At 35.3% G+C, this 25,853-nt stretch overlaps 1 protein-coding gene across 1 annotated transcript; it reads right to left on the bottom strand.

Moving 5' to 3' along the window:
- Positions 1 to 1,351: 1,351 nt before the first annotated feature.
- On the bottom strand, positions 1,352 to 18,062 carry TDO2 (tryptophan 2,3-dioxygenase). The gene is made up of 12 exons (NM_005651.4): positions 17,965 to 18,062; positions 17,635 to 17,740; positions 16,601 to 16,691; positions 13,966 to 14,036; positions 12,744 to 12,871; positions 11,547 to 11,733; positions 10,154 to 10,261; positions 7,324 to 7,435; positions 5,846 to 5,903; positions 4,284 to 4,363; positions 3,519 to 3,609; positions 1,352 to 1,921 (listed from the first exon to the last, which is right to left on the bottom strand). Exons 1-12 carry the CDS (start codon positions 17,997 to 17,999, stop codon positions 1,768 to 1,770), a joined length of 1,221 nt encoding a protein of 406 aa, NP_005642.1. The 5' UTR covers positions 18,000 to 18,062; the 3' UTR covers positions 1,352 to 1,767.
- Positions 18,063 to 25,853: the final 7,791 nt, after the last annotated feature.

Here is a 25,853-nt window from a genome sequence, read left to right as displayed (position 1 = left end):
TCAGTGATTTGCCATGGGCTCTGGGGCCTTCGGCCACAGACTGAAGGCTACAATATTGGCTTCCCTCCTTTTGAGGTGTTGGGACTTGGACTGGCTTCCTGGCTTGCAGACCTATTGTGGGACTTCACCTTGTAATTTTGTAAGTCAATACTCTTTAATAAACTCCCCTTCATATATACATCGATCCTGTTAGTTTTGTCCCTTTGGAGAATCCTGACTAATACAGTCTATTAAAATAATGATAAACGTTGACAAATAACATTTACACCAATATTCTAAGGCACTTTGGTGACAGAATATCTATTAACACATGTTTCTCCTGGGAAATAGCAAAGCTTATAAAATAAGTACTTTTATCCCCAGATGGATAGGAAACTAGGCTTCAACTGGTGATAGTACCAGATAGTTAATAAATGGCAGAGCCAGAATTTGCCCTCGAGCTTGTTGATTTCAAAGCTAGTGCCTTTTAGCCACCATGCCATTTGCCTCTGTATTATATCAGCCTAGCCACCATCAGATACTGTGTATACACACATACATGAGCACACAACAGTCATGGAGACAAAAACAATTATATGTAATTCTGAGACAAACTAGATGATATAATCCTTATAAGACCTTATAAGAAAAAACTTGCAAATGAAACCAAAGAATAGTTCAATTCCATCAAGAACTTACTGCTTGCTAGTGATAATCACTCTAGGTCAAGGTTGACATACATTTTAGATTTCTTAAATAATATTATGTACTTCCTCCCATAACAAAAATTTAAGTTTTCCCAATAACCTGGCCAAGCTAGAAAAAGAAGACTAAAACTCATGTCTGATCTAAACTCTTAGCTTAGTTAATGTCTTATTAGAAATGAACTGGGTCACTGTCCAGTCTGTGTACTTTCTTCTGGAAAGCACATCTTCTTTGAGGGGACTGTTCCTTGCTTTTACCTCAGTTCTGCATGCATTAGAGTTCACTCCACCTCCCAGACCACAGGCATGGGAGCTGGGGGAAAGAGAAGCTTTGCCCTGTGTGAGTCTGATGGTGCTGGAAACTGGGACCCAGCCTGAGACAGAAGCTGTTCTACTGCAGGAAAGAATAAAGCCAACACCTACAGAGAAGAGATGAGACAAAAAAGATCTCAGAAGAGTGTTCCAGGAATATAGCACTCCAGGAACTGGACCCAGTCCTTGTGGCATCAGAGTTTTCAGGCTCCTCTTTCAAGGCTTTTTGGACAGTGTTCATTTGAATTCTGCAAGCTAGTAATTCTTCAGTATATCCCCTCTAGACAAACTTCAGATAGATTTCTGTCTTTGGTCATTAAGATTCCTAACAAATACAATCAATATTTCAAAAACAATACAGGGAGAAAGATTAATACTTTATTATTTTAAAAATTTTGTTTGAAAGCCTTTGTACAGAATAATATAATGTACTGCATAAAATATTTGAAATAGATGAAGTTTACAAGTTTATAAAGATGAAACAATGAGATAGTGATTACATTAAGTGGTTACATTAAGTCTCAGGGGAAACTGAATTTTTAATAGGAAAACACCCTATGTACAATGTTACTATTTAAATGTATTCTTTCTCATCTTAATGCTTAGTCTTGTCACAAACAAGAGGTAATCAAATTGTTTCTAGAATTAAATCAGAGCATCGTGGTGCTGAACAATATATGCATACATATATTCAAACTGTATTTATGAAAATCCATAGAAAATAAAAAATAGGCTGTGAAACCAGTATTCTTCATAGATTTTGCAGACGATTTTAATCTGATTCATCACTGCTGAAGTAGGAGCTATCACAGTATTCTGCTGTATATAGAAATTTGTGAATGGTTGGGTTCATCTTCGGTATCCAGTGTCGGGGAATCAGGTATGTTGAAAGATTAAATAAATCTACAAATACCTTGTACCTATCACTGGAAAAACATACATGAAGATGTGTTACATTGGTTGACATGAAATATTTAAATTTTTCAATTAGAAAATTTATTTCTCAGATATTTTCCATAGTTAGTATTCAATATTATAATATATATTGCATGTTGTATATATCATATATTAAATTAGGTATTATGTAGTATTAGTATTGATTGTCTGCTTTTTATTCCATTTTCAAAGTTTATGCCCATAAAACAGTATTATGTGTTTTAGAACAGGGTGTTTCCTATTAAAACCGAGAGTCTTATTGCTGACACCTTCATAAAGATAAAGATGTGTTCTCATTTCCTACTTCTGAAGGATGCTATGCAAGGTAATACATTTAAAGCAAACAGTCTTAGATGCTCATTTGGAAATATTTCCAACTGAAAAGATGCCAAATAACTGCCCTGAAGGGTTTAATAAATTGAAATGCCATCTTAGACTCATAATAAATGTCCATGAAGTAGTTTTAACACTAAAATTGCTTTTGTGTGGTTAGTCAACAATTTTAACTGTTGCAGTTTTATGGAGGAAGAACATTTGCCTTTGAAGTTAAATAAATCTGGGTTCAAATTCTGGTTCTATCACCTACAATTCAAGGACCTTTGACAAGTTGTTTAAACTTCAATGCCCCAGTTTCTAACTCTATAAAATGAAAACTTTAGTCCTTCCTTTTGGTCAGGTCTTTTTAAAACTGAGATAACAACACACTAGAGATGCCATTTGTGTTCATTATTCCCACCACCCACTGATGTGTGTGCTCATTTGGTATAGGCAGTTATCAACTGTTTTGTGCTTACAGAATTCATTTCCAGGGACAGTGAAAATGTCTAAAAATGATGAAAATTTAAACCTGTGTATTTCAGAAACCAACCAATCTGGTAATAACAGTAGGGACGAAAGCAATGTGCTGTAAAGATTTGAGGTGGGGCTAAATGCAAATGTCTAATTTATTCTTGAATTGATTCTTCTTTTTCAAGGGACCACAGAAGTTTTTCAGTTTCCCGATGTATCCATTTGTCCATTTATCTATGATATTGTGAATATCAAAATAAGAATGTACATCCCTTAGAAACCTCTCTAGCATATTTTAAGTCCTCAATAAATGTTGATCTCTTTCCTTGTAAACACTTTAAAAGGGGCACTCTCTGGAGTAGATGGAAATAGTTTTATAATATAAAATAGCCATATCAGAAAACAAGACGCTACTTTAACTGTGTCATTTATCTAGCCAGGAAGACATTAGTAGAATTAATGATAAATGTTTTAGTCTGGTCAAAACTTGAGTCACAATGAGTTGAAGACTTTTCTGCCTGGATGTAAGCACTGTTAAACCCTTTGTGTCCTCACATATCATGCAGCCATTGATACCATATCCCTTTTCATACAGGATCAAAACAGTGAAAGTTCATAATTAAAGATTTTATAAAATTACCACCAAAAGTCTGAACTGGAATATTCTAACTACAAACGTGTTGTTAGTAGTTCAGACAGGAGCAAATAAAATGGCTTTTTTTAGATAGCAAATGTATAGGTGGAGAAACAAATTGTTGGTGACTGCCACCAGGAAGAAAGGAGAATTTCCCCACCTACCTCACAGTTGATCGCAGGTAGTGATAGCCTGAGGAACCACCGGTGCCAGCTTTGCTGCCCAGCATTCTGTGCACCATGCACACATGGTTATCTAGGCAAACATACAAATTTACTCCATGGATATTTTTCCACCATTAGTTCCACAATGTTCTAACAATGAGGGGTTGGTAATGATAATTGCTTCTGAGAAAATGTTGACAACTAACACTTGGCCATATGGAAGGCTCATACATGAGAGCCAGATGAGACTGTGAGGTTGCCTAGCGCTCCACTTGCTTCAGGCTACATGCATTTCACTCCATCCTTCGCTGCATTTAGCCCATGGATACAATAGAAGAGACCAGGATCATAATATGACTCATGAGTCCATGCCACCTTTGCCTTTATGGGGTCCTTCATTTAAAAAAATAAAAAAACTATTAAAATTAAAAATTTAAAACTGCATTGGCATAATGGCAAATAAATTACTCTTATGTAATAAAACTTTTATGACCTAAAGTTTAATTTTTCCTTTAGATTTTAAAATAAAACATTTTCATGAGCCCCCAAAAGTATTGTGGGCCTTAGGTACTGTGCCTAGTGTGTATATGAATAAGTTGGCCCTGGGAGAGAGTGATGGCCAAGCTGATTTGTATAAAAGAATGCACCCACACACAAAGGAGGGGGAAAGAGAGAAAGTGGGCAGGAGGGCACACAGAAGACCAAGATAAAGAGCACAGGAACAGCATGTGGGGAAGCAACATGGGGTGAGTGGGAAGGACTTACATCTCCATTTGGTCATCAGTGAATCTATGTCCATAAGAGAAGTCAGCAACTGAAAAGGCACCTGGAACCTAGGCTCTTCCCTAAAGGAAAAAAAGAAGAAAAAGAAGAATATATTCAAGTAAATCGAGTGTGTTAGGAGGAGCATGAGTTTGACAATCAGTTGGCCCTGGAAACAAATGTCAGCTTTGCCTGTGAGGAGCTGTGGCAGCTTTGGCTTATTCTCTCAGTCTCAGTTTCTCCATCTCAAAGATGAAATAATACTACTCAACTTGCAGTGTTTGTTTGAAGCCTAGAAAAGTCCATGTAATATACATGAAGTAATCACCTAGAGTCACACCTAACATTGGTTCTTATTAAAAGCGAGACAGGTGCACTATTACAGATTTCCCAGCCGAAAATAATCAAACACTTCTAGGCAAAGATATTAAAACACAAAAGGAAAAACCACTTTTTATTTCTTTTCATCTATTTGTTTTTTTGTTTTGTTTTTTTTGTTGTTGTTTTGTTTTGTTTTGTTTTTTTACATCTATTTCTTCACCTTTCTCAGCATATTTTCTAGTTAGGACACATATGCCTAATTGGCATACATTTACTTGAGTTTAGGAAAAAAGTCAAAAGATTTTGTTTATGTTGCCATTTTGAAGAAAGACTTGAGAAGATTTTAAAAATTAAATACACAGAAGCATGACGGCCTGTAAATATAGGTATTTTTTTACTAGTGTGATGTTTATTGTTCTGACACATTTAATTCATGAACCCTGAGGATGGGACCTTCATACAATAGAGTAGGAGTGAGTCAATATTTCAGGAATACTTCAAACTTTTTAGACAATGAAGCTAATTTTACTTGAAATTGCTGAATAAGTGGTACAGTTTGCAAGTTATTTTCACTTCATGCATTTTTTATTTTCTTAAACAGGAATAATCTTAGAGCATTGTTTAATGATAGAACACATTTCATGAGTGAGTCTCTGAGAGAGTAAACTGGCCATTTAGGACACTTAGTGTTACATAGTGCTTTTTAGACGCTTGTAATCCCAGCACTTTGGGAGGCCGAGGCGGGCCGATCACGAGGTCAGGAGATCGAGACCATCCTGGCTAACACGGTGAAACCCCGTCTCTACTAAAAATACAAAAAAATTAGCCTGGCGTGGTGGTGGGCGCCTGTAGTCCCAGCTACTCGGGAGGCTGAGGCAGGAGAGTGGCGTGAACCCGGGAGGCGGAGCTTGCAGTGAGCCGAGATTGCACCACTGCACTCCCGCCTGGGCCACAGAGCGAGACTCCGTCTCAAAAAAAAAAAAAAAAAAAAAGGATATTTGATTAATTTGTGTAGTGTTTAACCCCTTTTAACCCTGTTCAGGGAAAAAGTTATGCCTTTACTATTTAAAAGAAAAAAAAAGGGACGGGGGCATAAAACTTCATTACTAATTATCTTCCAAGTTTTCTACAAAAACTAAATTACTGCATTAAACTATGATTGTAATTTTTAGGCTTTATACTGGACATGTTATCCATATCCACCCCTCAATTTTAACTTCAGTCTCTCTTCGGATTTGCTTTACCTGTAAAAATATATCATCAATGCTCCCTGAAGTGCTCTGTATGACAGCCGTCTTTCACCTGCAAAATACATACTAAATTTAAATTTTTTAGGTCATTTAAGGTAATTTTGTATTAATTTGGCATCGTCATCTTAAAAAATTTAATGGATTACATGTGTTTAGAAATCAATATAAGTTTCAGTTTACATTTTTTATCCCTTAGGTTGAATTTGTAAACATATCACTTAAAATACAATTTTAACATTGGATTTTAAAAAACAAACTAAAAATGTACATATTTTAAATTTTCAAAACCTTCAAATAGCATGTTAGGAAAACCTGATTTTTCTAGAAAACACTTGACTTTCATAATAAAATTCATTTTCCGAGTAAAAGAATATGTGTCTTTCATTTCAAAAAAGTAGTGATGTGTTATAAGCATCATTTCAAAGTAGTTTTCATTAATTCACTTGACATTAGTTAACTTGTTTTTAATGAGCACAATTATGTAAAATCATACATGTGTGCTCTAATGAAAGACTTTCTCCCTGCTGCAGCGAAACAAGATTTTGCTATTCTTTACTGAGATTTGTTTTTTTTAGAAAACAGAAGCTAACAACCTTTAAGCTTATAAAACTTAATACCAATTTCACGTATTGCTATGTTTCGTACTTGTGTTATAAAAGTTAATTTTTACTTTTATTCTGCATATTTCCAAAAAGGTTTGGGATGCGTTACAATAAAAGTTCTAAGTCAAAATGAACGCAAAAGTTTAGAAATGAAAGTACTGATTTTATGGCTCAATAAATTTCAGGAACTAACAGCTCAGTACTAATTGTGCCGAAAGTCTAAATGTATGCTTTTCCTGGTATCTTGGTCAGTCAAGCAGATTTGTATGAAAGAACTCACCCACACACAAAGGAGGGAGGAAGAGAGAAAGAGGGCAGGAACATTCCAAGCCCAGAGAACACATAAAAAGACTCTTTGATGATAAATCCAAATAACTAAACTTAGCTAATAAAAGAAACTTAGTATGGCTGGACCACATGAATATGAGATCATAAAAGGCCTTATAGACCACGTTAAAGATTTTATCTTAATTCTAAAACAATGGGGCGACATCAATACTTGCTCTCACGGTAGCTATTCCTTCCTTTTCTTACCTCTACCATAGTGTTTACTGTTACAATGATTTGTCTTCATTTCTGTCCCTATTAGGCTGTGAACTACTTGAGAAACTATATGCAATTCATCTTGATATCCCGTATATCTGGCAGAGACTATAAATTTTTTTCTAATGTTTTTCAAATAATCTGGGCATGGAAACCCGTTAAAATAGGTTTATCACCAAAAACATTTACTCCATTTTTGTTTCTATCAGTAGAATATCAATTTTCATTCTATTTCTCCCAAGTAAGGCTTGATAGTCTTATAAAATGATGTCTTGATCTCATATTCACACATTCCAGGGAAAAGATTCATAAAGTAAAAATACCTGCCTTTACTAAGGAGATGTTCATGACGTTTCTCATCAAATAAGGACAGTAGCACCTCTTTTTGCTTCTGAAATTCAGCCACCTGTTCCTCTTTTTCTTCAGACTCTTCTTTAGCCTTTAGGAAAAATATGGCATTAATAGTCCTGAGAGAGAATAAGTAGATTGATATTTTAGAAAACTTTGCTTATGAGGAAAAGACTTATGGTTGCAGAAATGATGTACTTTTAATATTTACTGTATCTTCTAATATTACTATTTGGAAATTATGTCTTATGAGAAGGAATCTTCCACATACTCAGTGGTTCTATCCTTTTATTTAAGTTTAAATGATTTCTCAATATTAAATATTATCTTCATAAATATAATGAGCAATGGACTCAGATGGACAAAATTGGAGATAACTACCAGCAGTTAATAATGATATAATTTTAAACAAGAATTAAACACAGGAAGTAAGGTAACTTCACTTAGAAAAAGTTAAGAATTCCTAGTCAGAAGAACTATTAAACCTATTGAAATTCTATGTTCTATATTCAGTGTTGAATTCTGTAAATACAATTTCTTAGATATTTCTCACTCATGTTTTATTCATTTTCTATCTATCTATTGATTGGTTTAAGAAAATTCTTATTTTTCTGCCTACAACACATATTCTGCTTATAAGCCAATTAATTGAGCTGGGGAAAATTATTTAACCCAATTATTTCCAATTCATCAGAACCACCACACTGTGTAGTACTAACCTATATGCATATTATTTCAAATTAATTATTTATTTATTCAATACATGTCATGCTAAGATGATAGAGATAAAATTGTGTGCAAAAATTGAGAGTCGTGATATTATACAGGAATTATCTGGTAGGAATAAGACATTGAACAAATAATAACCCAGTACAGTCATTAAATTACAACCATAGACTATGCTATATGTCATAACTTAAAGTAATAAGGAGTTTAGGAAAGACCTTTCTAAAGAAGTTTTCCTCGAGCCAAGATCTTCAGAGTGGGAAGGAGTTAGTTGGGGAAGAACATTCCAAGCCCAGAGAAGAACACATAAAAGGACTCCTTGGTGATAAATCCAAAGAACTAAACTTAGCTAATAAAGAAACTTAATATGGCTTGACCACATGAATGTGAGATCATAAAGGCCTTATAGACCAGGTTAATTTTATCTTAATTTTAAAAACAATGAGGTAACATCAAAAGGCTTTACACAAAAGGGAGATGTGATCAGATTTGCCTTCTGAAAAGATTATTCAGACTGCAATGTGGAGACTAAATTGGAATAGAGGCATACTGGGAAGGTGGGGGAGCACAGTTCAGATATTATTATAGTCCAGGTGAAAAACGATGGAGGGTTGCACTTGAGTGGTAGTGGTAGATTAAAGGATGATATTTGAGAGCTAATAGGTAACATTGGTAGGACTTGATGATAGCTTGAAGAAGTGGTGAAACAAGAGGGCGGAGCCAAGGATCACTGATTGATAAGAGTCTGACGACAGCCTAGATGGATTATAGGAGAAAAAATTCTTTAATGCAGAGAAGACAATGTTGGTACAAGAGTGGATGGAAGGGGAAATGTTCAAGTTTGGTTTTATTGGTGTGTTTTTGAGAGGACCAGGAGGAAATATCAAGTAAGGTATTATATACATGTTCTGAAATCTAAGGGGATATATAAACCAGAGATAAATGTTTGAGAATTATGGTGGCTAAGTAGATATTGAAGCAGTGGGTATAAATGACACCATCTAATGAAAGAGTATAGAGATAGAACAGAAAGGATCTAAGCCAATGGACTACAAAACTCTACCATTTATTGGTCTGAGAGAGAAATAAGAGCAAGTAAAAGAGATAGAGAAATAAGGGCCAGAGAATTAGAAGCAAACATAATGGTATATACTAAATCCAAGAGAAAAGAATGTTCAAGAAAGAATAAGTAGTAGTCATTAGTATTGAATGTTTCTGCGAGGTCAACTAAGTTAAGATTAAAAATGGCCATTGGATTTATGTACATGAAGGCCACATGAGAATGATGGTACAGGAAGACAGCTTGAAGTAAGCTCAGGATTAGCTGAGAGATAACTATTCTGACTTCTGCTTTCAATGCTTTACAAGTATTTATTTAATTTCCTGTTCATAATAATCTTATGAGTTAGATATTCTTATTTTTCTATTTTGCCAATGCTGAAAGATAGGCTAAGAGAGGTGCAGTCACTTGTTCTCTGTCACATAGTTGTTTAAGAAGTGGAAGTGGAAATGGAACCCAAGTAGCATGACTTCAAAGTCTATGCTTTCAGCACTACCTGATGCAACCTCTCAAGATGTAGAATTTAAACAAGTCTTCCAGGAAATTTAGTCATGCCAAGAGGATGAGAGACCTGAAAGATAAGGGCAATGAGCAATCAACAGTATCTTTTAAGTAGGAGAAAACTGACATTGTCTGAGAGCTGCCAGAAAGCACCCAGTAAATATACAAGAGCAAAAGCAAAGCTACAGGGCTAAATAGATTTGGTTCGTTAGTCCACTGTGGGCCTAGTTCTGTCTAAAATTGGTTCTAATATAGAATTTTCAATAGAAATGAAAAATAATATTAATCTCAGCTAGTTATCATAGACAAAATTCTCCCGTGCAATGAAGGTCTTATTTTAGTATAATATTTATCACACATAAAGAAAATGAAATCAATCATGTCACATAGTCCAAGAAAATACATTTGTCTAAGAAAAAAATATGAGAAAGAGAAAAGGTTAAGAGAAAAGCAAAAAATAATTAAAATAAAATTTTGAATATTTCTGTATTGAATTTATATTAACTCATGTCATCTAAATACCTGAATCCTTATGAATTCCTCTTCCAGGCCTCTGGTGATATTTTTTTCAAGCTTTCCCCAGAAGTTAAATCCATGTGGCTCTAAACCTGGAGTTCTTTCCAGCCATGCCTTAAATAAACATTATTTTTTAAGTGAGTACATGGTAAAATTATGTAAAATGCATTGTAACCGACATGTATAAACTTAAAACAAGAAATCTTCATGGTTTCCAGAAACATATGCTACAAGTTTTATTTGTAAATGTTTTTTATTTCTCTTCAATTTCTTCATTTATGAAATAATTAATATATTCAATTTTCTTAATTTTTATGGCAATGGTTAATAATGTTTACTCTTTATTTCTTAAGAAATATGTGATTACAGAAATTCCAATTGTCTTCTAGAAATCTACAAACATATTTAAACATATGTTCTATCTAAACATATTTAAAGAGTATATTCTTAATAATTATTTTACTAATATATTCTGGTTTATTCTCAAGTTACTTTATGTCATAGGAGCTTAAGAAATTACGATATGTATAAGATACGATCTCTTCTAAATTCATGGGCACTGTATACTTAGCAACTTTGAAATTAACCATCCATGCAATTACTTTGAGATTTTAAAATGTTTTTAAATCTAGAAATAAAACTAAATTCATGTACCTCTGTGAGTTCTCATTTAACCTATACTTATTATAATTCTGAAATTAGCTTTGTAATTCTTTTTCTCCCTATTCTTATCTGCCATTATTTGGCATTATATATAATACATTAACCTAAATCCACATTTACAATACCCAGAGGATTAATGAGCAGAGTATAATTCAACACAAGAAAAGTTAATTTGCAGAAGAAAAGGCTTTGTAATGGAAAGCAAGACAATACAATCTTTGTTTAATAATCTATTTTGAAGAAAAAATTAATAATTCCTAAAGGCTACTTACAGACCTTTAGGGAATTTGGATATGAAGGGAACATTTTCTGAGGTGTATATTCTTAGTAATTTAGTTCAGCTAAGAAAAATACTAAATAACTGGAAATTTTCAATTACAGAATATTTTAAAACAATAAAGCTCACTAAATAATCACACTCAGTCTAAAAATCAGCTAATTAAGTGTTACTTAGAAGGGATATTTAAGGAATTGTTTTATTGAGATGATAAGGTTATTAAATATTAGCATACAATTGATTACATAAGTATTTCCGAAGTTCTCAGCAGGGTTCTTGACATTTTCAATATTTTAGTAACATGAATTTACAAATTCATGTATTTTTATGAATTCTTTCTATCCTTATTTCCACTGAATGTAACTCAGTTTCGATATACGTTTTTAAAATTCTGATTTAGCAAAAGCTAAATTAAGAAGATGTATTGAGTTAAACTTTATAAATTGTATGAATCCATACCTCCACTAATTCCAGAAGTGTCTTTTCCTGCTCAGATTTAAGTAGCAGTTCATTTTCTTCTCCTTTGAAGTTATCACGATAATGTCTTCTGTTATAAGGGACTCTCATGTTCTGAAGAACACCTATCTTGTTTTCTAATAGTCGGAATTGCAAACTCTGGAAGCCTGATGCTGGAGATAAGTACTCTCTTTGAGATTAAATGGTGGAAGGAAAGGCAAGGGAAGGGAAAGAGAGGAGAGGAGAAGAGCAGAGAAGAGAAAGGGGGGGGAGGGGAGAGGGGAGGGGAGAGGGGAGGGGAGGGGAGGGGAGAGGGGAGGGGAGGGGAGGGGAGGGGAGAGGAGTCCAGAGGAGAGGAGAGGAGAAGAGAGGAGAGGAGAGGAGAGAAGAGAAGAGCTGACATTATCAACCACCATAATGGTTTCTTCTATTGTAAGAGATTGTAGAGACTGTCAGTTTTACTCTTGGATATCAAGAGCAGATACACACAACTGTCTAGAGTTAGACCTGTGATTTGACTCACTGAAATCAGAAAAATGAGCTACTTAAATATCATCGGATATCAAAAATGTTATTACTCCCACTCCCCATATTATATCTTTGTGAATGTCTTTCATTTCACTGCTGCTAAGACTTTAACGTTTTAAATTCACCACAAATTCTACTTTTCCTTTGTCAGACATGTTCAGGACATGCATGTTACATCCTACACCCAATGGAAGTTTCTTAAACTTTTTTCTTCTCACATTTTGGTAAGAAAAAAGCTATCTATATGGTATTGCCTTGAAATGTACAGGTAAAATTTATGGTTTAATCCATAACTTCTACTTTGATTGACATGCTTCTGTATATATCGCTCCTGTTTTGAGTTTTTATATCTTTTAAATTTAATTACATGTATTTTATTAGCTATTTTAGTCAATGTGCTAAGTTGTCTAAAATTCTTTTTGGAGAAAAACAGAACACACAGTGATGAATTTAAATCAATTGATCATATTACGCTTACATGTAAAAATGAATAATAAAATATTTTTAATAACTTCTCAAATGCTTTGTGATCGAAGACCCCTAAGTCCATATAGTGACAAAATGTTAGTAAGACAGGCTCCTCATGGCACAAAACACACACATGCTGCTTTTACCCCACCAAAATGAGAAAGTAAATTCCATCACATTTTTTAAAATGCCAAATGTGCACACCTGAAGTCATTGAAGTCCAAGGCTGTCATCGTCTCCAGAATGGAAAACTGCTGCACCAGCAGTTTCAGGATCACTGACACTCGGTGCATCCGAGAAACAACCTTAAGCATGTTCCTTTCATCTCTGACCTGAAGGTTAAGAAATGAAACACTGAGTTAGCAATGCTGACCTCTAGAAAATACAAAATAGACAATGGCAATGAATTCCCATTAATTTTGTCTCTAATTTGGTTTTAAAGGGAAACTTTGAAACTAAAATTTGCAAAGAGTATATAACAGTTCTGAATTGTGGGCAAGGAATTTCTGCAAAATAAGAAATTTTTTCTTTCTTTGACAATAGAAAATTATATAGAAGCATAGCAGAAGTAAATTCTAGAATACAACCCCCCACTGATTTCAAAACAAGTTTCTCTTTTAGTTTTGTTTCAAAGAACAGAGGTCAAGATAACACAGGAACTTCTGAGTGAGGGTTAAACAACATGTGGATCAATCTACTCTTTACTGAGGGCCAAAGTTGCCACTGACACAAATGGGAAGTGGATTCATGCAGGCAGGAAGGGTCCCATCTGTATGGGTCCCATGTGCTCTGTCTCCTAGCCCTTCTTGGAGCAGGGGCTCAGAGGTAGAGGACCCAAGGAAGGATCCTCAGAGCCATGGCAAGAGAAAGCAGGGTGGGAGATGGAGAAGTGCACCTCAAGCTCCTGCCGTCACTGGAAGCTTTCCCTCCTCTCCTCTCACTCTTTGTCCTCCTGTCCTTTTCTTCCCCATTGCCCCATTCCCCTTTTCCCCCTTTTCTTCCTCTTTTTCTTCCTCCCACCACTCTTTCTCTACTGCCTCCTTCTCTTCCTTTTTCACTTTCTTTATTATTGCTCCCATCTTCCTGCAGCTAATATTCAGTAGAAATACAATTCTGGTACCTGTTAATTAAAGGATCCCCATTAGCTTGGTAATCCACCATCATTTATAACATCTTTGTGGGTGGAAATGAGTTCTAAACAAGGGACTTGAAACTGAAATTTGAAAGGAACCTTAAAGTCACATGTAATTTCAAAATAGCAATGGAAAAATATGACTGAACTCCTCATTCATTCATAAAATGTCTGTTTGTTCTATCATTAAAAGTTAAGACCACCATTTGGTGTTAATGTTTTTCTCTCATTAATAATACTTTCCATATCTTCCAAAAATATACATGAAACCAATATTGTGACATAAGAACTTACATGGCCATTCTGAAAGATCTCTCGAACAGAATCCAACTCCCAGAGGATTTGCTTAAACCAGAGTTCATAAGCTGTAATAAGGAAATCATTGTCAGTTGGAAAGTTATGGGAGCCTTTTTGGCCATTATTATATGAAAGATATGTTTAACATGTTGAAAGAGAAATTAAAATGTTACCTTAAAATCAATAAATGTAAATATAGTCCCATTGTGTGCCAGAAATAAATGTTAGTGTTAAAGTTGTAATAGCCTCCTTTTATTAAATGTTTTAATATGCTAGACATGTTACCTAATGCTTCATATTCATTATTATTACACTAATTCCTCTCAACAAATGCATTTTTAGGTCTTTGAGGATATAGCACATAACCTAATTCTAGCTTCCTCTATGGAAGCTGGAAGTATGTGGGGAAGCAGAAGTGATAATCAACTTCATCTACACACTGAGAAATTAATATTTCCTAACCTAAATGAAAGACTGTAGGATTTTAAGAACTTGAAAATACAAAGCTAAGTTACTTAAAATGCAGCATTTTGTCTGTTTGTTTTATTTGTGAAAATCCTAGCAACTCATAGACTTAGCACATATGGGAAAGCGGCCAGATGTTTGTGGTCAAAGGAAAATGGCAAAGCTTCATATTACTGTAACAGCTAATTCCCGGGGGAACTTTGTGGCAATTGAGTTCACATTATCCAGTAGATCATCTTTCAGAATTTCCATGAGTCCAAGGTTTATTTGTTCAAACCTGAATACTGCCAAAGCTTTTCTGTCGAAGGATTAAGTTTGTTCTCCCCTTTTACTACGGGCTGTCAAACAGTAACATTGGCATTAAAGAAAAGTGATACAGTAATGACATGTTGGAAGAAGCATAGTTGGAATCAATCTATCTGAAGTGACGGGCTGTGTCAATTGGGGCAAAACCATTTTCTTTAACTTCAGTTGATTCATTTGCAAAATGATCAGTTACCCACCTACAATTGGAAACCTATGATTCAAAACCTTAAGACTTACAGCAGTATGGTAGACATGGATAGACATTTTGACTCCTTTGTGTTGCTAGATGATTCATAGCAAATATAAATGGTTCTCCCCGTTGATTTGTCCTTCCCATAGTATTCTTTGTCACTAGAAACTAAGGACTTACTCATACTCATCCATTTTTCTTCATTACCTAGCACAGTGTCAGGCATAAAGTAAATATTGGGTGATTATTTTTATTTTTATGAATAAATTAAATAGACAATGTAATAATTAGATGACACAGGAAGTCAATAATCTTAGAGATCTTCAGTGCATCCTATTTGGTTCAATCATATGGATAAAGGCAATGTTTCCATACTAATTAAGAGAATCCAATTATAACTCTAAGTTATGTTTAAAAAGACTTTGGGGGACCTAATTTTTATATTTGAGCAAAGAACAATCAAACATTTATTGATCAGTTTATGTATATCTTTTTTAACCCTATGTAACCACTGCCTACATGTTATAACTAAAGAATAGAAGAAAAGTGTTTTTATAAAATAATGATAGCTACCATTTGTTGCATGTTTATTATGTGCTATACCTCGGGCTAAATGCTTGATGCACATTATCTTATTTATCTTCCTAGGAACTCTGTAAGTGAGAGCATCAGTAATTCTCTCCATTTTACGTATGGGGAAATGGAGGTCCTGAGATCTAAGCAACTTGACCAGAGTCACACAATTTATAACAGTAGAACTGAGATACTAAACAATTTTTAAATTCCTAATTTATGCTACCATACCATGATTCTTCTCCTATTGATATTGCCTCGGTATAAGCCACCCATAAAAGTATAAACATAAAAACAGGAGAACTGACACATTAAGCCAGTTTTTTAACTTTTAATTTCTTTACCAGAGTTTATTAATTTACTCAATCACATTGGAAAGCATCCATTTGAGGAAAGAACACAAAGAATTGGTAAGGCAGGGAAACACATCTAGATGTGGGGCACTGGCAGGCAACAGTGATTGGGCTCCAGTCATTAAGAGGTCAGTATAGTGGTACTGAAAAGCTTAAAGTAAATGTTACTAATATTTTGGGGTCACAGACCTCTTTAAGATAATATTCATGAAAATTTGTGCATAATTTTGGAGTTCAGGGACCTTCTAAACTTCTGAAGTCATGAACACATAGGCTAAAAAAAAACCCACTGCCCAGAAATCATTATAGAAATCTGGAAAGGATAAACATACATTTTTGGACACAATTTACATTTGTCTTTATTACTAGATTTGTATAGGATTATGTCAATCCAGCATAAATTTCAATGATCTTGAAAATAGTTTTTTAGTGTTCCGAAGTGAGAAACGTAACATCTTCACTTGTGAATTCCTAGTGAAATTCCAAGAGGCAGAAAGTCCCCTTGGAGTTAAGAACAAAGCTAAAGTCCTACTTCACCTATTAGCAGAGGAGTAACATAAAGAAGACTATTGAAATCCTTATATCAGTCCTATGAGAATTCATCTGGCAGCAAAATATTCTCAAACATTTCTAACAGAGGTGATTCCATGATCTTTCATCATTTTGTAGTTTAAAAATTGTAGCTTTCCTCGTTATCAATGAGAAATGCCTGTGGAATATTGTCCAAAACCTTTGTGCAACTTACCTTGATGAGTTATGATAAAAAGATGTTCATCATGGATTTTATTTCCTTTTGTTTCACTTTGCAGTTCTTGTGCATTCAAAACTTTTTCCAACTTGAAATGAAAAATAAAAAGCCTGTCTGAAATTGCAGAACTTGGTTTTTATGAACTTTAGTAAGAAGTAGAATATGATAATGACAAATGCTCCTCCAAACTCAAAATTCTCAGAAACCAATCTAGTTTCTTTTAAACAATGGACGAATCTCATCATAAAGAGTGAATTGAATTTGTGATTTTTATTCTTCTCAGAAAATTTCTATTTGGTAGGATTTTATCATAATAAATCCTATTAAGCTCTTTGAGACATCATATCCCTTTTCATGAAATGAATATGATGAAAACTTGAAAACTTGCTGAGCTGACTATGCATTTGGCATTCTTTTATTCCCCTAAAGAGCCTATTCTAAGAATATTTTAACATTCTTTATCAGTTAATCCTTAGAAACTCACCGATGAAGACATCAAGGACTAATCATTTTGCCTCTTAAAAAAAATAGAAGACAAACAGGCTGAAACTTGGCCCAGAATAATCTCCCAATACCTCATTCATTAACATCCCTCTTTATATGTTAATGATTTTAAGAAAATTCTCTGTGTGCCTTTTACATTTCGACTTCATGATAAGAGATTTAAAGGAGAACTTTTTCAAGATACATTTGCAGTTATCTAGGCTGACATTTATTAACCATGTCTTATCTATACAAGTTGCACAATGCCTGTGAATTATCCACAGTGTATCTTATCATGTATACGCCTCCCAGATTCTGGATTCTCTGCTCTTACTTCCACTGGAGATATGAATTTTATCCTATAAGTCTCTTGAATTATTCTAACAAAAGTTGAAAACGTAAAAGTGTTTATGAATAAAAATATCCTTAGGTCCAGAAAACGATTGGTGACTTTCCCTAATTCCAAGAAATAAAATCATAAAAAGTCACTTGGCAGAATTGAGTGCCTAACAATGGACACCAAACCCTGTAAGGACCCTGCCACTTACATGCAGGTAGTTCCCATAGATAAGACCTCCTTTGCTGGCTCTATTCACACCAGTTTGTGATTTGTCTTCTTCGCTGCCTTCTACGGGGAGTTTTTTAAAAGTATATCTGCAAATTTAATAAATCAAGAGGGAAAAATAGTGCTTTAGAAAACACAGTTAACTAATGATATGGGTGATTAAAATTCTCATTGCAAATTTTCTTTAGAGTAGATTGTTAGACAAAGGAATAAAGGTGACAGTTTTCAATGCTCCTTAAATTCAGAAATTAAAATGCTCACACCTGATACTTCTAAAAGCCAAAACCCACTTAGAATAAAGGTAAATACTCACCCAAAGTTGTTTCCTAAAAATGGGCACCCACTCATGGTGAAAAGGCACTGTCTGAGAAGCACGGAGGTTTGACTCTAGGCAGATGCTATCATTGACCTTCCCAGATGTTCTACAGCTGCCTTTTATGTAGCCTGCTTACCCTGCATCAGCCAATCAGCATGCTTCTTGTACTCTTAGCTAACTTCTCATTTCCATTGGTACAGAACTGAACCTCTGTAAACTTTAGAGTGGATTTATGTTGGGCACAGTTCATTTGCTAAGAGTGAGTGATCTGCCAAATTGAGTTGTATGACTTGCCAAGTTCTGCTTTTATATTCAAAGTAACAAACATCCAATGAATCAACAGAGGCCAAGTTAAAAAAATTACATTTATTCAATCCCAAGAAAACATTTGGCATAGTATTAGGATACATAAGATGATGAGCTTGTAAAAAACAAATATGTATTCTCTCAAATTTGAATATTCTTACAGCTTCTAGACCAAAAACTGAAATTTAACACCTCTAGGGAAATTAACTGTATAATAAAGTCTGGGTACATGCTCAAAGCCCACTTCCATTCAATCATCAGAGTTCTTCTGACCTAAATATCATGTAATAATCAGCAGCAGTTAAGCTCTCAACACATTGTATTGGAATTTAAATGAACATTATCAGTTTACTATTCATCTGTGGCATACCAATGACAGGGTAGCTAGCAGTCATCCACATTAGCATACATTGCCTATATAGAATTTTAAAACAGTAGTTCAAGACCAGCCTGGCCAACGTAGCGAAACTCTATCTCTACTAAAACTACAAAAAAATTAGCCAGGCAAGGTGGTGCGTGCCTGTAGTCCCAGCTACTAGGGAGGCTGAGGCAGGAGACTCGCTTGAACCCAGGAGGTGGAGGTTGCAGTGAGCCAAGATTGTGCCATGGCACTCCAGCTTGGGCAACAGAGTGAGACTTTGTCTCAAAACAAAAACAAAACAACAACAACAACAACAACAAGAACCAATAATAGCCATGTGCCCATAATTCTATACAGTGTCAGTGATAAAAATATTCTTCCTTGAAACATCATTTATTAATCTAAGCTCTAAACAATTGCCCCAAGAACAATTAAGCCAGGATAGAAGCTTCATGGCCTTATCCTTAGCATGCCACTGCTACTCACTAAGAACTATAGGCAGAAACAGCACTTAGCCTTTATTTAATCATCTACCATGATGGAATTTTGTCTAATTAGCCAAAGTCATTGGAAGTCAGAAACCTGATTTCTAGTCTTGGCTCTACGACTACCTTGTAATATGAGAAAAACTGACTGAATTTCTGTACATATCAATTTCCTCACCAAAATAGAAAGTGTTTAAGCTGATTATAATCTTCAAGATCCTGACCCAGGTTAAAATCTTGATTTTATTACTGAATAATAAATTATATATCTAGTACAGAAAGATAAACAACATGCAAATGCCATGTTATAATTGAACTTGAAAATCATCAAAACTATATGCTATACCTGTCACATTTCCCTTGAGTTTTTATGAATGATCCTGGAAATTGCCTACACACTGGATAGGGACCTTACCTGAGAGAGCGGTGGAGTCACTGTTGCTTTTCCTGGTGTCCTGGCTTAGAGTGTTTGGAAGCAGAGAACAGTTAACAGCCCCTCTTTCTCTACATAGTTGTTCAACTGGGTACGTGTTTACAGAGAATAATGCTAAATAATTTATTCCACTCTCTTTAAGCCTTTTGAGCTGAGAAGTTTCCTTCACTTATTGGTCAACATACTAGTAAAACAAATAAGGAAACAAATTTTCCTATGAATTGGAAAAAATAGATATTTTAGAAACAAAAAATTTTTTAAAGAAATGACATTTCACTCTTAAGTAGTAGTATCAATTCAATATTTGCTTTTACATCACAAGAACTGATCATTGAAAGACTTGACTTTGGGGCATCAGAGAAACTGCAAGCTAATCTAAAAATAACTTATTTTCTTCATCCAGGAGAGTAACTACAGTGGAAGGCCCCCATACACACACATCCTCATTATTTTTTGCAATAGCATTATCAAATGTATTACTAGTTATATTCTGGTCATCATTTGCCAATACTTAAATTTTGCCACTTCGAACCCAATTTGTCCATCTGATGATAATCTAATTAGGAAACTTTTATTTATAATCACATTTAGAATTTATTTCTTATTTTTATTTTTATTTTTATTTTTATTTTTAGAGATGGGGTTTCACTATGTTGACCAGGCTGGTCTTGAACTTCTGGCCTCAAGCAATCCACCCATCCCAGCCTCCCAAAATGCTGGAATTACAGGCATGAGCCACTGCTCCTAGGCTCAGATTTAGAATTTCTATGACTATAGTATCTACAGCTCCCTATTTATTTATATATTGAATATTTTACACAGACTTTCTGGAAATATACTTTAACTCAAATAATACAATGTAATAGAACCTCAGACATTTAACAGATCAAGAGAGGAGATTCTACGGGTACAGGCAATGATCTGCAGTAACCTTCTAAACCCACTCTATTTCCATATGCACATAATTCTGTGCACACATGGCTTAGAGAAGGAAGATGCTGGAGGCAACACTGGTAGATGAGCATGTTTAAGAAGATGCAAATCGTAACTAATTCTGGGCCTAAAAGTTACCCTAGAAACCATCTAATCTATATTCAGAAGTAAAAATACTAGAAAGCTAAGAGATATAGCAACTTTCTTTTTCAGACATGTAGTAAAAGAATATGAAAATCAGATATAAAGCATTATAACAAAAATCTTTGTCTCTAGGTCTTTCCTCTTGATTTCTAAGGTTAGGGTGCAGAAAAGAGTGAGCCTGCGAGGGTAGAGCAATGAGAATTAGCAGGAACTTGCATTGAGCTAAACTCTGAACGTGAATAGGAGTTTATAAAGATCATCCCTTCAGCCATCACAATATTTCTTTCTACAAAGCACCACATGTGCTCTTCCATAAGATGTTAACTTTTCTTTTTCCATCTACCCTTCACAGCTTAAAACTGCTGCAACATCTTCCTGTCTGCCAATGCAATTTCCCACTCTTTTCCTTACTCAACAGTGGTAGATTGTGGCAGACACAGAAATGCTGACTCAGTAGGGGAATTCTGAAAGGATTCTGCACCCTTCTTCAAATAGCCCAGAGCAACCCACAGTTGCTCCTGACATTGACCTCAATAATTTATTTATGGCTCTTTTCCTGTCTCAACTTCCTTAGTCCCTCACTACTTTCTGGGAACATCTCCCAGATAAATCCCCATCCCCCAAATCCTTATCTCGGGCTCAGACTTTCTTATGCAGAAGCCAATCTAATACATACAGCTCTTGTTCATCAGGAGCTATAATATATTTAGGAATTGAATAATTACTTTTTTTAACAGATTTTTTCCTTTCTAAGCCAAGAAGCATCTGTAAACATAGCAGCCATTCAATAAACTTTAGTTGACAAGATAAATTGCCATTTGGGCTGTGAAGTAGCTTTTTTCTTGTCCTTGTTTTGTTGTTCTAACGTTTTCTTTGATTCCCATAGATGGGAGTCTGAACGGAATTAAAATTCCTTAGCTAGGATTTAAATTTAGTCACACACTTAGGAGGTTTTCAAAGTCTCTTTGATAAAACTCAGAAACAGCCATCAACAACTAACGTTTGCTCAGTTGTAATTATGGCAGGCTTGAGAAAAAGCAGAAAACAAACTTAGGGCACCAATTTCAAGGGAAGAAATTATGGACCAGTGAAAGGACTACTTCATTTATCTCTGTGGATTTAGGATGACTGGTTTTCAAGGGAAAAATAAATGACATTCTTGGAAGATGTATGTAGATAAGGTTACACTAAACACTCTTACAGTTAAGGAAACTGGCCTGCCTCTCACATGGAACACATCACAAAGGAACCAGGAACCAGGAGACCCTTTCTCATCCTGGGCTTTGGAGAAATGCCTACAGATAAATTTTATTTCTTTATTTATTAAAAATCATTAACATTTTAATAAAAATAATTCCAATGAGATTCTAAATAAGTTCCAGCAATTTCAGACATGAGGTTATGAAAACTATTTTTTGGCCATATTTTGGTATATAAACACGTTAACATTCATTTTTTCCTAGTTCAACATGATATATTATCATTGAAAATTTGAAAAGAAATGCTTTTCTTTATATAATTTAATAGTATTTTTAAAAGCAAGTGTTCTATTTGTAAATAAGAAGAGGTTACCAACTATTTTAATAGTATAAATTATATTAAATAAACTTTATAATACAATCATAATGTATTATATAATTTTTTAAAAGTACTAAGTAGCATATTTTATTATCAACTACATAAAAAACATTAAAATGATTTTAAAAGTTTAGGTATTATAAAAAAATTATTTAAAGTTTAGGTATTATTCTCATAATATACAGTTTGAACCATATGAAATTGATGCTTTTGTAGGTTGGAATGGTTAAATAGCAATAATTTTATAGAATTCATATTATTACTATTAAAGTAAATACTAAATACTAAAAATACTATTAAAGGTAGTTCACAAGTCAGAAAAAATTGCAAAATAGAAACATCTGTTCTTTAAAAGGGAAGGGTGTTGCGGGAAGTCAGGGAACCCAAATGGAGGGACCAGCTGGAGCTGCAGCAGAGGAACATAAATTGTGAAGATTTCATTTTAATAAGGACATTTATCAGTTCCCAAATAATACTTTTATAATTTCTTACACCTGTCTTTACTTTAATCTTTTATCCTGTTATCTTCCTAAGCTGAGGAGATACGTCACCTCAGGACCTCTGTGATAATTGTGTTAACTGTACAAATTGATTGTAAAACGTGTGTTTGAACAATATGAAATCAGTGCACCTTGAAAAACAACAGAATAACAGCAATTTTTAGGGAACAAGGGAAGACAACCATAAGGTCTGACTACCTGTGGGGTCAGGCAAAAAGAGCCACATTTTTCTTCTTGCAGAGAGCCCATAAAGGGACATGCAAGTAGGGAAGATATCACTAAATTATTTTCCTAGCAAGGAATATTAATATTAGTATTAATACCCTGGGAAAGGAATGCATTCGTGGGGGGAGATCTATAAACAGCTGTTCTGGGAATGTCTGTCTTATGTGGTTGAGATAAGGACTGAGATACACCCTGGTCTCCAGTACCCTCAGGCTTACTAGAGTGGGGAAAACTCCGCCCTGGTAAATTTGTGGTCAGACTGGTTCTGTGCTCTTGAACCCTGCTTTCTGTTGTTTAAGATGTTTATCAAGACAATATGTGCACCACTGAACATAGACTTTATCAGTAGTTCTGCTTTTTCCCTTTGCCTTGTGATCTTTGTTGGACCCTTACCAGTAGTTCTGCTTTTGCCCTTTGTCCTGTTCCCTCAGAAGCATGTGATCTTTGTTAGACCCTTAGTAGTAGTTCTGCCTTTTGCCCTTTGAAGCATGTGATCTTTGTACCTACTCCCTGTTCTTATACCCCCTCCCCATTTAAAACCTTTAATAAAAACTTGCTGGTTTTGAGCCTCAGGTGGGCATCATGGTCCTACTGATATGTGATGCCACCCCCAGCTGCCCAGTTGTAAAATTCCTCTCTTTATACTGTCTCTCTTTATTTCTCAGCTGGCCGACACTTATGGAAAATAGACAGAACCTACGTTGAAATATTGGGGGTGGGTTCCCCCGATAGAAGGGGGAAGCAGATTCTGATGCTAGCATGTTACATTGATTTCTTTAAATGATCAACAAAATCTGCATACTACCCAAACTTATTAGCAGAAAACTCAAGAGTTCACACATTTACAGCAGACTGTATAATTTTCAGATCTCATTTCCCATGACTTCCCACACAAACACCTAGTGATAAATCTAGAGCATAGGAACTAAGTCCTGAAATCTTTAAATTTTCCATGCTTACAGTGACCTCTCCACCTCTCCACCTCTTGAACTCTCACTCATTCTTTAAGAAACATTTCAGGCCGGGCGCAGTGGCTCACGCCTGTAATCCCAGCACTTTGGGAGGCCGAGGCGGGTGGATCATGAGGTCAGGAGATCGAGACCATCCTGGCTAACAAGGTGAAACCCCGTCTCTACTAAAAATACAAAAAATTAGCCGGGCGCAGTGGCGGGCGCCTGTAGTCCCAGCTACTCGGGAGGCTGAGGCAGGAGAATGGCGTGAACCTGGGAAGCGGAGCTTGCAGTGAGCCGAGATTGCGCCACTGCAGTCCGCAGTCCGGCCTGGGCGACAGAGCGAGACTCCGTCTCAAAAAAAAAAAAAAAAAAGAAACATTTCAAATAGACTTCTTCTGGGATGCTTTCCATGATATCCTCAAAAAGGAAAATTTCTTCCTCCTTGGTGGTTCAACAAGACTTTGTTCTTTTTTTTATTATTTTACTTTAAGTTCTAGGGTACATGTGCACACCATGCAGGTTTGTTACATATGTATACATGTGCCATGTTGGTGTGCTGCACCCATTAACTCGTCATTTACATTAGGTATATCTCCTAATGCTATCCCTCCCCACTCCCCCCACCCCATGACAGGCTCCTGTGTGTGATGTTCCTCTTCTTGTGTCCAAGTGGTCTCATTGTTCAATTACCACCTATGAGTGAGAACATGCAGTGTTTGGTTTTTTGTCCTTGTGATCATTTGTTGAGAATGATGGTTTCCAGCTTCATCCATGTCCCTACAAAGGACATGAACTCATCATTTTTTATGGCTGCATAGTATTCCATGGTGTATATGTGCCACATTTTCTTAATACAGTATATCATTGATGGACATTTAAGTTGGTTCCAAGTCTTTGCTATTGTGAATAGTGCTGCAATAAACATATGTGTGCATGTGTCTTTATAGTAGCATGATTTATAATCCTTTGGGTATATACCCAGTAATGGGATTGCTGGGTCAAATGGTATTTCTAGTTCTAGATCCTTGAGGAATCGCCACACCGTCTTCCACAATGGTTGAACTAGTTTGCAGTCCCACCAACAGTGTAAAAGTGTTCCTATTTCTCCACATCCTCTCCAGCACCTGTTGTTTCCTGACTTTTTAATGATCGCCATTCTAACTGGTGTGAGATGGCATCTCATTGTGATTTTGATTTGCATTTCTCTGATGGCCAGTGATGATGAGCATTTTTTCATGTGTCTGTTGGCTGTATAAATGACTTCTTTTGAGAAGTGTCTGTTCATCTACTTTGCCCACTTTTGATGGGTTTGTTTGTTTTTTTCTTATAAATTTGTTTGAGTTCTTTGTAGATTCTGGGTATTAGCCCTTTGACACATGAGTAGATTGCAAAAATTTTCTCCCATTCTGTAGGTTGTCTGTTCACTCTGATGGTAGTTTCTTTTGCTGTGCAGAAGCTCTTTAGTTTAATTAGATCCCATTTGACAATTTTGGCTTCTGTTGCCATTGCTTTTGGTGTTTTAGACATGAAGTCCTTGCCCATGCCTATGTCCTGAATGGTATTGCCTAGGTTTTCTTCTAGGGTTTTTATGGTTTTAGGTCTAACATTTAAGTCTTTGATCCATCTTGAATTAATTTTTGTATACAGTGTGAGGAAGGGATCCAGTTTCAGCTTTCTACATATGGCTAGCCAGTTTTCCCAGCACCATTTATGAAATAGGGAATAGTTTCCCCATTTCTTGTTTTTGTCAGGTTTGTCAAAGATCAGATAGTTGTAGATAAGTGGCATTATTTCTGAGGGCTCTGTTCTGTTCCATTGATCTATATCTCTGTTTTGGTACCAGTACTATGCTGTTTTGGTTACTGTAGCCTTGTAGTATAGTTTGAAGTCAGGTAGCGTGATGCCTCCAGCTTTGTTCTTTTGGCTTAGGATTGACTTGGCAATGCGGGCTCTTTTTTGGTTCCATAT

The sequence above is a fragment of the Homo sapiens genome, chromosome 4 (genome assembly GCF_000001405.40).
Source record: "Homo sapiens chromosome 4, GRCh38.p14 Primary Assembly".
NCBI classification, from domain to species: domain Eukaryota; kingdom Metazoa; phylum Chordata; class Mammalia; order Primates; family Hominidae; genus Homo; species Homo sapiens.
This window is presented reverse-complemented; position numbering and strand designations above follow the sequence as displayed.